Below are 13,718 nucleotides of genomic sequence, written 5' to 3' on the forward strand. Positions count from 1 at the left end.
AATAACTATTTTTCTAAACAAAAAAATCAGTGAGAAGAGCGACATTGTTTTGCATTTTTGCAAATTTCTTTAATGTCTGACTTAGTAAAAGACAGCTGTATTATATCTCCAACATTTGATCTGTCGCAATATGTTTTCTTTGTTGAAGTAAATAAGAAATATCTCGCCTCACTTACATGTGTGGTTGGTAAACGGAAGACCTTGCAGATCGCTAGAAAGGGACTCACGGACCCTTACCCTTGCAGGGATTCCTGGACTACCTTTTGAGAACCACTGATTTATAATATGGGAAGAAATTTGAACATGCTTATAACCTGAACAGAAGGAGGCAGAAAAGAGGTGGAGATTTAAAATTCAAGGGAAGGAGGCATAACTGTTGGAATATACCAATATAGGTAGAGGGTTTACCTTTTTTTTTTTTATCCTAGAAACAGAGTCTTGCTCTGTTGCCCAGACTGGAGTGCAGTGGCACGATCTCAGCTCACTGCAACCTCCGCCTCCTGGGTTCAAGCAATTCTCCTGCCTCAGCCTCCTGAGTAGCTGGGATTACAGGCGCCTGTCACCACGCCCAGGTAATTTTTGCATTTTTAGTAGAGACAGGGTTTCACCATGTTGGCCAGGCTGGTCTTGAACTCCTGACCTCAGATGATCGACCTGCCTTGGCCTCCCAAAGTGCTAGGATTACAGGCATGAGCCACTGCGCCCGGCCGAGGGTTCACCTTTTTGAGAGGAGATAGGTAGGCTAGAGTTATAAGGATGAGTATGGCTATAAATATATTTGGAGGAGTGGAGTTAGTTGATGGATTTCATCTCCATTAGCTTCAGTTTCCTCTGAAACAGCAGGAAAAAAAGCTTTCTGGGAGTAAGAGGCCATAGAATGGAATGGGGACCTTATGGAATGCCATGAATGTTGTTATTTCTATAGCCTGTCTGTATGCATAATACAAGATGAGATGCTGGCTGTGTGAAGATTTAAGTGTTTCTGTGAGTAGGAACCTGCATTTCTAGAGGAGTGCAGGGAATATCTTGAGCTGCATGACCCTTTGTTTCTCCTTCTCACTTATCAAATCGAATATCTTCTCTGTATTCAATTGTCTTCATTACTTAGAAACTCAAATTCACACTCATGGACCTTCTATCTTGAAAACAGTGTCTTAGCTTCATTAAACATCCAGGTTGTCAATATGGTAATTCTCAATTCCATTTTGTAAGCACATGTGTTCTCTTTTAAACTATGAAGTTTTTAACAGTGAGAAGCTGACTGATGCTCAGGGTAAGAGCTTCTGTCTGGATTGATGACACAATAAAAACTGTTCAGGATGACAAGGAAGGCATTCAGCAAACTGTGAGTCATTCTGTCTCTGACTCTCCACTAGATGTATGTGTATGTGATGGTGGAAATAAATCCAATACTGCAAATAATCAAAACCAATAATTAGTTTAGTGCACTAAGCTAATCTGTTCAAAAGATTAGATTATAAAATACCAAATCCAGCTAAATATTCTTTGCAAGAGATAAAACAAAAGTATAAGGACACAAAAGGATTTGGAGTAAAGGGATAAAATAAGTTATACCAGACAAATAATCAGAAGAAGGCTGGTGTGGCAATATAAATATCAGAAAGAAGATACCATAAAGGAAAAAAAATTCCAAAGAAATCATTACACAATGACAGAGGCAACATTTAATCAGGAATATATACTAATCCTGATCCTGTATATATCTAATAACAGGCTGTCAAAATTTGTAAAGAATAAGTCATTAGAATTTCAAGAAATATTAACACATTTCACAATTAGAAGAGAACATTATATCTTCTGAAGACTAACAAATAAGCAGACACAAAAGTAAACAGGTCATAATCAATTTAAACAACACAATTACAAGCTAGATCTAATGGATATATATATCAGAAATATGTATTTTATATATAACATATATTATATATTAGATATATAATATATAATTACATATATAACATGTATTTTATATATATATATAAAATTCTGTACACTTGGGGAAACATGGACACAAAAAAATTACTGCATGCTAGCCCACCAAGCAAGTCTTGACAAATACTAAGAACTGATGAACAAATGATTATATATTAGCTTATCAAAATGTAATTGAAACAAAAAGATAGTCAAAATAACCCATAATAGACATTTTTGTAGTATAATAGAGTTTTTCCAACTATTAACTAAACCTCAGACTTTATTTGGATTTCACTAGTTTTTCCATAAATATCCTTTTCCTGTTCCAGTCCAACCCAGGACAATTTTTGTGTTTAAATTCATGAGAGATATTGATCTGTAGTTTTCTTTTTTTTGTATTTTATTTGTCTACTTTTGGAATCAGGGTAATACTGGTCTCATAAAACGAGTTGGAAAGTAATTCCTCATTTTTTAGTTTTTGCACAAGCTAGTGTAGAACTGGGGTTAATTCTTTAAAAGTTTGGTAGAATTCTCCAGTGAAACCATCTGGGTATGGAAATTTCTTTTTTGGGAGCTTTTAAATTATGAATTCAATTTTTTTGATAGTTGTGAGACTATTTAGATTATCTATTTAATCTTAGTTGAGTTTTGGTGGTTTTGGTTTTTTAGGAAATGGTCCGTCTTTTCTAAATTTTTGAATTCATGAGCATAAAGTGGTCCATATTATTCTCTTATTATCTGTTTAATGGCTCCAGAATCTTTAGTGATATCCCGTTTCATTTGTGACATTAGTAAAATGTATCTTCTTCATTTTTATTTTTGTCAGTCTTGCTAAAGGTTTAGTAGTTTTACTGAATTTTTCGAAGAACTAGCTTTTTGTTTCATTGATTTTTTTTCTATTTTTTTGTTTTAAATTTGTTGATTTCTCTTTTTATCTTATCTGATCCTCTACTTGCTTTGGGTTTATTTTGTTCTTTTTTAGTTTCTTGAGATAAAAACTTAAGATTACTAATTTGAGACCTCTTCTCTTTTCTAATGTAAGCATTTGGTACTAGAAATTATCCTTTCAGAAATGCTTTAGCTGTATGTTACATATTATGTTATGTTTTATTTTCATTTTTTTCAGTTCTTTGTACAATTTATTTCCTTTTTGACTTCCTCTTTGATTTATGGATTATTTAGAAGTGTGTTTGTTAATTTCCACGTGTTCAGAGTTTTTCTTGTTTTTGTTATTGATTTCTAGTTTGATTCCATTATTGTCAGAGAGTGCATTCTGTGTCTTCTTTTAAATTTGTTGAGGTTTGTTTTAAGGCCCAAAATACAGTCTGTCTTGGTGAATGTTCCATGAGAACTTGAAAAAAATGTGTATTCTGCTGTTGCTGGGTGGAATGTTCTATACAAATTGAGCATCCTAAATCCAAAAATCTAACATCCAAAATGCTCCAAAAGCTGGAGCTTTTTGAGCACCAACATGATCAAAGGAAACGCTCATTGGAACATTTCAGATTTCAGATTTTTGGATTTGGAATGCTCAACTGGTGAGTATAATGCAAATACCTAGAATCTGAGAAAAACCTGAAATTGGTAATACTTCTGGTCCCAAGCTTTTTGGATAAGGGACATTCAACCTGTATATGTTGATTGTGTTGTTCAAATCTTCTGTATCTTTGATGATTTTCTATCTAGAAGTTCTATCAATTGCTGATAAGAGGGGGGTATTGAAATCTTCAACCACAATTGTGGATTTATCTGTTCACCCTTTCAGCCCTATTTTTTTAAACAACTTTTATTTTGGGTTCAGGGGTACATGTGAAGGTTTGTTATATAGGTAAACTCGTGTCATGGGGGTTTGTTGTACAGATTATTTCATCACCCAGGTATTAAGCCCAGTACCCAATAGTAATTTTTTCTGCTCTTCTCCCTCCTCCCACCCATCTTTTTTTCCATCTCGGAAAAAAAGGAAAATTGTGTAAATTTATAATTAAAGTAATTATTTATATGCTAGGATTTAAGTCTTACATTTTATTGCTGTTTGTTTTTTCTGTTTCTCATTCCTCTGTTTCTTTTTTCTTGCCTTCCTGTGGGTTATTTGAATATTTTCAAGGATTGCATCTTGTTTTATTTATAGAGTTTTTGTGTGTATCTTTTTGTATAGTTTTCTTAGTGGTGGCTCTGGATATACAGATGTGACATCACATTCTACTTGTATCAACAAGGGAATGTATGGAAAGCTTTGTTCCATTTAGATCCCTTTACTTTTCCCACTTTTAATTGTCATTCTCTTGAGTATTAAATCATATTATAATTTTTGTTTCAATCATCAAATATTATTTATAAAACTCATGAGAAGGATATCCTATTGTATCTTCCCCCCCCCCCGTTTTTTTTGAGACAGTCTCACTCTGTCGCCCAGGCTGGAGTGCAGTGGCACCATCTCGGTTCACTGCAACCTCTGCCTCCCGGGTTCAAGCAACTCTCCTGCCTCAGCCTCCCGAGTAGCTGGGATTACAGGCGCATGACACCATGCCCGGCTAATTTTTGTATTTTGAGTAGAGATGGGGTTTCACCATGTAGGCCAGGCTGGTCTCAAACTCCTGACCTCGTGATCTGCCCACCTCGGCCTCCCAAAGTGCTGGGATTACAGGAGTGAGCCACCGTGCCCTGCCGTCTTCCCATATTTTTGCTGTTTCCATGTGATATCGTTTGGCTTTGTGTCCCCACTCAAATTTCACCTTGAATTGTAATCTTTATGTGTCAAGGGTGGGACCAGGTGGAGGTAATTCAATCATGGGGGCGGTTTCCCCCATACTGTTCTCCTGATAGTCAGTGAGTTCTCATGAGATCTGATGGTTTTATAAGGGGCTCTTTCCCCTTCACTCATCACTTCTCCTTCCTGTCACCTTGTGAAGAAGGTGCCTTGCTTCCCTTTGCCTTCCACCATGATTGTAAGTTTCCTGAGGCCTCCCCAGCCATGCTGAACTGTGAGTCAATTAAACCTCTTTCTTTTATAAATTACCTACTCTCCGGCAGTTCTTTATAGCAGTGTGAAAACAGGCTAATACAGTAAATTGGTACCAGGAGTGGGGCTGTACCCTGCAAAGTCACAGGAGTGGAGCTGCCTAAGGCCATGGGAGCCTACTTCTTGCATCAGTGTGACCTGGGTGTGAGACACGGAGTCAAAGGATATCACTTCGGAGCTTTAAGATTTAACTGCCCCACTGCATTTCAGACTTGTATGGGGCCTGTAGCCCCTTTGTTTTAGCCAATTTCTCCCATTTGGAATGGGTGTATTTACCCAATGCCTGTACCCACATTGTATCTAGGAAGTAACTGACTTGCTTTTGATTTTACATGCTCATAGGCAAAAGGGACTTGCCTTGTCTCAGATGAGACTTTGGACTTGGACTTTTGAGTTAATGCTGGAATGAGTTAACACTTTGGGGGACTGTGTGAGTGAGTTTTCATGAGATCTGATGGTTTTATAAGGGACTCTTCCCCCTTCACTCGGCACTTCTCCTTCCTGCCACCTTGTGAAGAAGGTGCCTTGCTTCCTCTTTGCCTTCCACCATGATTGTAAGTTTCCTGAGGCCTCCCCAGCCATGCTGAGCTGTGAGTCAATTAAACTTCTTTTCTTTATAAATTACCCGGTCTTGGGCAGTTCTTTATAGCAGCATGAGAATGGACTAATACACCGTAGTTCTTTCTTCCTTTTGAGTGCTCTAAGTTTCCTTCTTTTATCATTTTCTTTCTCTTTGGAGAAGCTCCTTTAGCCATTCTTCAAGGGTAGGTCTGCTAGTGACAAATTCAGCTTTCCTTCATCTGAGAATGTTTTGATTTCCCCTTCACTCCTGAAGGATGGTTTCACCAGATATTTAATTCACCATTCACATTTCTTGTCTTCAAGCATTTGAAAAATGCTATGCCACTTCTTTTTGGCCTCCCTGGATTCAGATGAGAGATCTGCTGCCATGTGAATTGATTTTCCCCTATAGGTTGTTTCTCTTTGGCTGATTTAAAGATCATTTATTTTCTTTAGTATTTAGAAGTTTAATTATGATGTGTCTTAGCATAGATTTATTTTGGATTTATTTTATTTGAGGTTTGCTTAGTCTTGAATCTGTAGGTTTATGTATTTCTCCAAATTTAGGAAGTTTTCAGCCATAATTTCTTTGAATACTTTTTCAACCCGACGTTCTTCTTTTGGAGTTTTCTCTTTTTGGACTTCAGTGATAGCAATATTGGGTCTTCTGTTATAATCCCACAAGTCCCTGAGGCTCTGTTAAATCTTTTAGTCTATGTTCTCTCTGTTGTATACATTCAGTGACTTTCATTGTGAACTGATTCTTTTCTGTCTTCTCCATTCTGCTATTGAGCCCATTTATTAAGTTTTAAATTTTGATGACTGTATTTTTTGGTTCTATAATTTCCATTTGGTTCTGTAGTTTTAAATTTTGATGATTGTATTTTTTGGTTCTATAATTTCCATTTGGTTCTGTTTTGTAACTCCTGTTTCTTTGCTGAGATTTTCTACTTTTTTACTTGTTTCAAGAGAATTTGTAACAGCTTGTTGAAAGAGCTGTTATTAAGGCTGCTTTAAAATTCTTGTCAGATAAACTCCAACATCTGATTCATCTTGATGTTGGCATCTGTTGATTGTCTTCTTTCACTCAAATTGTGATTTTCCTAGTTCTTTGTATAATGAGTGATTTGAAATCATATCTTGGACATTTTGGTTTATGTTAGGAGACTCCTATTAAATCTTTTATTTTAGCAGGGAGTCTCCCTGTTTAGGTTTATCATGTAGATTCTTTAGGGTTGTAGGATTTTTTCTTTTCTACTTTTAGAAGCTCTTTATATATTAAAGATACATACATTGGGATATTGCATTTCAAAACTTAGACAAAATGAATAATTTTATTTAAAAATATAAATCAAAATTGAAATACCAAACATGAATAAACCCATGCTCATCAAGGAAATTTACTCATTAGCCAAAAATCTCCTCATAAAATTTTCCGCAATAGCCCACCCATCCCACCAAACAAAATACTGACACCAGGCCTGGATGTTTTTTTTTTGTTGCTGTTGTTTGCTTTTTTCTTTTTCTTTTTTTTTGAGAGGGAGTCTCGCTTTGTTGCCAGGCTGGAGTGCAGTGGCGCCATCTTGGCTCCCCCTCCGCCTTCTGGGTTCAAGCGATTCTCCTGCCTCAGCCTCCTGAGTAGCTGGGATTACAGGCATGTGCCACCATGCCCGGCTAATTTTTGTATTATTATTATTGTTATTTTTTTGAGATGGAGTCTCGCTCTGTTGCCCAGGCTGGAGTGCAGTAGCGCTATCTCGGCTCACTGCAAGCTCCACCTCCCAGGTTCACGCCATTCTCCTGCCTCAGCCTCCTGAGTAGCTGGGACTACAGGCGCCCGCCACCACGCCCGGCTAATTTTTTGTATTTTTAGTAGATACGGGGTTTCACCATGTTAGCCAGGATGGTCTCTATCTCCTGACCTCGTGATCTGTCTGCCTCAGCCTCCCAAAGTGCTGGGATTACAGGCATGAGCCACCGCACCCGGCCTAATTTTTGTATTTTTAGTAGAGACAGGGTTTCATCATGTTGGCCAGGATGGTCTCGGTCTCCTGACCTCGTCATCATCCTGCCTCAGCCTCCCAAAGTGCTGGGATTACAGTCGTGAGCCACCACGCCCAGCACAGGCCTGGATGTTTTTACAAATGAGGTCTATCAAGATTTAAAGTAACAGATAATACTTAGCTTATAAAAAATGTTCTAGAGAATAGAAATCGTAGGAAATATCTCCAGTTCATGTTATGTGGTTAGTAAGAAATGATGGGAAGGGGTCTCAGCATAAAATAAAGCACAGGCTGGGTGCAGTGGCTCATATCTGTAATCCCAGCACTTTGGGAGGCCAAGGTGGGAAGATCGCTTGAGTCCAGGAGTTTAAGACAAGCCTGAGCAACATAGCAAGACCCCATCTCCACAGAAATTTAAAAAATTAGCCAGGCATGGTGGTACATGCCTGTAGTCCCAGGTACCTGGGAGGCTGAGGTGGGAGGATCGCTTGAGCCCAGGAGTTTGAGACTGCAGTGAGCTATGACTATGCCTTTGCACTCCAGCCTGAGCTGCAGAATGAGACGCTTTCTTCAAAAATAAAATAAGATGAAATAAAGCTCAGGATTATATTTTGTCCTTGTTTCTCAGGTGATACATCAGTTTTGACCCCCCACATCTGCTTATAATATCAACTGAAATGCAGTGCTGGCAGTGAAATTCCAGACTTCTTCAGATGACTGAAGTCATACCTGTAGCCTTTTCTCTTTTGGACAACGGGGGAGGCCTCTGGTGCTTGGACTGACCAGTGAATAATTGTGTGGCAGCCTTCTAATCCTGAAGAAACACTAAAGTTTACACAAAGAAGTTCCATGGTTTCTTCATGTTGAAGGGCTGACAAGGGCTACATGACCAAGGGCTACAAATCTATATGTCTCCTTGCCAGCAGACTATTCACTTCTTTTTTTTTTTTCATTCTTGGATGCACCTATCTTTGGTTAACGCTACTATGCCACCATATTTGCTATTGTGCCATTCTGTGCTTTTGGCTAAAATAAATAAGACTTCTTTTGTATGAGACCTGATGGTTGGGATTGTTATATTTGATTTCAACAAATGTATATATTTTTTTCTTTGAGACACAGTCTCACTCTGTTGCCCAGGCTGGAGTGCAGTGGTGCAATCTTGGCTCACTGCATCCTCCACTTCCCAGGTTCAAGCAATTTCCCCTGCCTCAGCCTCCCGAATAGCTGGAATTACAGGCACCCACCACCATGCCTGGCTAAGTTTTGTATTTTTACTAGAGACAGGGTTTCGCCATGTTGGCCAGGCTGGTCTTGAAGTCCTGATCTCAGGTGATCTGCCCTCCTCGGCCTCCCAAAGTGTTGGGATTACAGGCGTGAGCCACTGCACCCGGCGTGAGCCACTGCACCCGGCCTAACAAATCTATTACTAGGAAATATATCCTATGTTAAAAGAATACAGGATATGTTCTAGAATCAAATGGAAATTTTAGAATGAAATAATCAAATAATCAGAATAAAAAACTCATCAGAATGGAGAGGACACAGGAGAAGATTAGTGAACTTGAAAACAGAACTATAGGAATTAATCTGAACAACAAAGAGAAAATAGACTGGAAACTGAGTGATTCAGAGATGTGTGGACTGTAACAAAAACGCTCAGAAAGAGAGAAGAAAGAGGGTGGGACTGAAAAAGTATTCAAAGAAGCAATGGCTGAAAAATCTCCCAATTTGGCAAAAGACATAAACCTACAGATTAAAGATCTTGTGAGAATTCCAAACTTGATAGATCTAAATAAATCCATACCAAGACACATCATAATCCAACTTCAGAAAAGTAAAGACCAAGAAAATATCTTGAAAACAGCCAGAGAGAAATGATGGGATTTCTCATCAGAAATCATGGAGGCTAGAAAGAAATGGCACATTTTTCAAGTACCAAAAAGAAAAGAATTGCCAGCCAATTCTATACTCAGTGAAATGATCCTTCAGAAATGAAAAGGAAATACAGATATTCTCAGACTAAAAAAAAAAAACTTAAATAATTTACCAGACCTACCCTTAAAAAAATGGCTAAAGGAAGTTCTTGAAACAGAAAGGGAATGAAAGAATGTTAAAATACCATGAAGGAAGAAAGAACAAAGGAACAAACCGAAATATGGGCACATACAATAGGCTTCTTTTCTCCTCTTGAGTTTTCTAAATTATATTTGACAGTTGGAGCAAAAGATATATAACAGTTTTTGGATATGGTTCTTAATATATGTACAGGAAATATTTAAGATAATTATATTATAAATGGGTATAGTAAAGGGTCTTAAAGGGAGGTAAGGTCTCTACATTTCACTTGAACTAGTAAAATGTCAATACCAATGGATGGATAAGTTATGAATGTATAACGTAATACCTAAAGCAACCACCACAAATTTACCTATGCAACAACTTTCATGGACCCCAAGGGCATTATGCTAAGTGAAAAGAGCCAATCTTAAAAGGTCACATACTAGCTGATTCTATTTATATAACATTCTCAAAATGACACACTGAAATTGATGAAGAGCAAATTAGTGGCTGGCAAGGGTTAGAGATGGTGGGGTGGGTAGATACGACTCTAAAGGGGTAGCATGATGGAGATCTTTGTGGTGATGGAACAGTTCTGTATCTTGATTGCAGTAGTGGTTACATGATTCTACACATGTGATAAAATGGCATAGAACTATACATACATGTTTGATGAATGTCTGTTTCCTGGTTTTAATATTATATAAGATGTAACTATTGGGACAAACTGAGTATAGGGGACATGGTATAGATCTTTCTACTATCTTTGCAGCTTCCTATAACTCTATGATTATTTCAAGATAAAAAATGTTAAAAAGAGAAAACTACATTTCTTTGGTGAAAATGTTTTTATTTTAATTTACATTTTATAACTACTTTTTCAAAATGGGATATTATTTTAGTTTTTTCCATTATTGTGAAATTTAACTGTCACGTAGAAATCTTGGATGACATTAGCAAATCAAAACAGGAATTTTCTTTCCTGAATATTACTTTACCATTTGAGTCACCATGGTTTTGAGATGGGAGCTATTGGTGTCGGTATTTATAGGGAAGGATAATGTGACTGCCCCATTCCCATTTTACTCAATCACAAGCAGGACTGCTCAGTAGGAATGCTAAAAGCATTCAAATCTCTCATTATGCCTCCCTTACCCAATGACCTAGTTTTATGAGTTGGTTGGCTGCTGTCAGAGGTACATTGGTGGCTGTGGAATGGAATTCTCCCTACACAAGGTTAAGTAGCCTATGTGATTCTCTTTGTAACCTTGACTAACTGAACTTAGATTAACTGCAAGTTTTCTCTTGTGACTGTCATGCGTTTCCCTAATTAATCACATTTTCCGGAAGCTCTATCTGTACAACTAACTAGACTAGATCTCTCTGCAGACATGGGAATAGAAATTACTCTGGGAATCTTGATTGTGTTACTGATTTGCATAGCGTTAATGATTTGTATGTTAATGCGATGGAGAGGCCGGGGACTGCATATGAGTAGAACCTGTTTCCTGTTTCCACTTCTGGAGCCATGCAGGGTCAACTTTACCCTTCTTTTTGAGTTTCTCTTCAGTTGCTTTTTGTTTGTGCTTTATATTTTATGGCTGGAATTTAATTTTAACTAAATTTATTTAGAATTTATTTGAAAAATTATTTTGAGCTCTCTGCTGCTGTAGCAGGTACTTTTACATACGCCATCTTATTACTCCAAACAGCAATCCTTAATTTTAACTAAAAATTTGGTATTTCAGTATTCCACTATGTTGGCATTATGTTTAAATGCCAAATTAAAAATTAAAAATTTGATGAGTACTGTCAAATGCATTCTATATGACACACACGACACTTAGATTTGTTTGATACAATAGAATTATTAAATATCCCCTAAGAGATTTAGTATCATTTCAGTGCATACAATGAAGGAAATTCAGGGACCATAGTCAAGAAGCTCATCTGTTGAAAAGAACTATACAAGATAGAGTAACCTGACATAGAATATTTTCATCCTACCATTTACTTACTTTTATTCCCGTACTGTTTATCTTTGAGGAAGTTTCTATTTCAAGTATTATTACAGATGTAGGAATAAAGGTGAGATGAATGATATTATATTCCAAGGTCTATGTAGTAGTTAAATGATAATGAAAACCACAGTTCATCATGGTAAAGCAAACACACTTGGAAATGTATTATTGTTATTATTATCATTATGACAGTGTTGAGAGGGGCTCAATTAATCAATCAAGGGTGTAGCCATCTGATAGAAAGATGGGTTTTGTAATAAGAGGTTTACTGTTGGGTGGCAGATGTGGCAGACAGCCCAGACAACAAGCTTGGAATGGTGAACTACACACATTCCACTGGCAACATTTATGGCACCGGAAGTGGTATCCATATGCACATATCTACTCAGAGGATCAGAAAAGGGGGAAAAAAAACTAAGAGCACATGTGTGAACATGATTATAAAGCAGTGGACTCCCAAATTATGAGCCAGCTTTCAAAATGCACCCATTGTATGAAATCCAGTTTTGTCTTCTTACAGGTAACATGTACTGCTTGTATCATAATACATGTAATTGTAATAGTATAACCATAGATGTGTTTTTATTCAGTAAATCAGCTCTTATGTAGTATGGTGGGTAGACTCCAAGATGTCCCTCAGTTGTCTCTGCTTCCTCATATCCATCCCCTTTTAAAATTCCCTCACCTTAAGTATGGGCTAGACTTATTGACTTGCTTATAATGAATAGAATATGGGATTATATTCTATCCCATAGAAGTGATGGGATGCCACTTCTGGTATTAGGTTATAAAAATACTATGGCTTCCATCTCAGGGTGCTCTCTCTTGGACTCTTCATTCTTTGTAGGGTGTATTAATCTGCTTGGGCTGCCAAAACAAAATACCATAGACTGAGTGGCTTAAACAACAATGTATTTTCTCATAGTTCTGGAGGCTAGAAATGCCAGATCAAGGTGCAGGCCAGTTTGGTTCCTGGTGAGAGCACTCTTCTTGGCTTGTGGGTGGCCGCCATCTCTCTGTGTGTTCGCATGATCTCATGATCTCTTTTTTGTTTGCACACTGGGAGACTTGGAGTTGGGGGTGGTGGGAGAGAGAGAGAGAAAGGAGAGGAGAGTGCTGGCACTTTGGTGTCTTTTTTTATAAGGACATTAATCCTATCAGATCAGGGTCCCACCCGTATGATGTCATTTAACTGTAATTACTTCCTTAGAGGCCCCATCTCCAAATAAAGCCACACTGGGAGTTAGAGCTTCAGTATATGAATTTTGAGGGAACATAAATGTGCAGTCCATAGCATGGGAGGCAGCCCTGTGGAGAGGCCCACGTTAGTGAGCTTGGAAGTGGATTTTCTACGGCCTGCCACCAGCCATATGAGTGATCTTTGAAGTGGATTCTCCGTCAGTTGGGTCTTGAGATACCTACAACCCTGGCCAACATTTTGATTGCAACCTCATGAAAGACTTAATCAATACCACCTAGCTAAGCTGCTCTTGAATTGATCCTGGTTGATCACAGAAACTAGGAAATAATAAATGTTGTTTTCAGCTGCTAAGCATGGTATAATTTGTTATGCAACAATAGATAACTAAAACATTTAATATTTGACTCCTCAATTCCTTTATCAGAAACTTTAGAAGTAGGATATATCACTAAGAGAGTCTGATTATCAGCAAGAAATGGAAGAATAGGGCATGTGAAAAGAGACTAACAACCGTCCCTTTATTTATCATCTTCTTTCCAGAAATGATTCGTATAATCTGTGAATATCCTGATGGATGTAATGATTTTACCTAGCTCAGGGAATTATGCATTTTATGGGAGCTACCTATAGGACTTTTGATTCTGCACATGCATTCTGAATAGAATATATGGAAATTCCTTGTTACTACGGGATTTCATGGATGCAACTGTCATTGAGTAAAATGTTTAGAACTATCTGCACATGGTCGACAGGGATGGAAGTTTGATAGACAGCAGGAGGTGGAAGTTGGCAAATGAATCATTTACAATTACGGTCCTGCCCAGCAACCCTCAAATTTCCTGAGTGCCCATGGTAAGGATCCATTTGCCTCCAGCCTCTTAAGGCTGTGGAGTACCCCCGGTCCATTGGCATGCTGG

The 13,718-nt window shown here is 37.8% G+C and overlaps 1 annotated feature.

Moving 5' to 3' along the window:
- Positions 679–1,180: an enhancer, noted in NCBI's record as "NANOG hESC enhancer chrX:25148731-25149232 (GRCh37/hg19 assembly coordinates)". NCBI's record gives its function as "activates a minimal SCP1, AML or CMV promoter by ChIP-STARR-seq in naive H9 embryonic stem cells {active_cell/tissue: H9 hESC(naive)}" and the evidence as "EXISTENCE:reporter gene assay evidence [ECO:0000049][PMID:30033119]".

This window comes from Homo sapiens, chromosome X (genome assembly GCF_000001405.40).
Source record: "Homo sapiens chromosome X, GRCh38.p14 Primary Assembly".
Classification (NCBI taxonomy): Eukaryota; Metazoa; Chordata; class Mammalia; order Primates; family Hominidae; genus Homo; species Homo sapiens.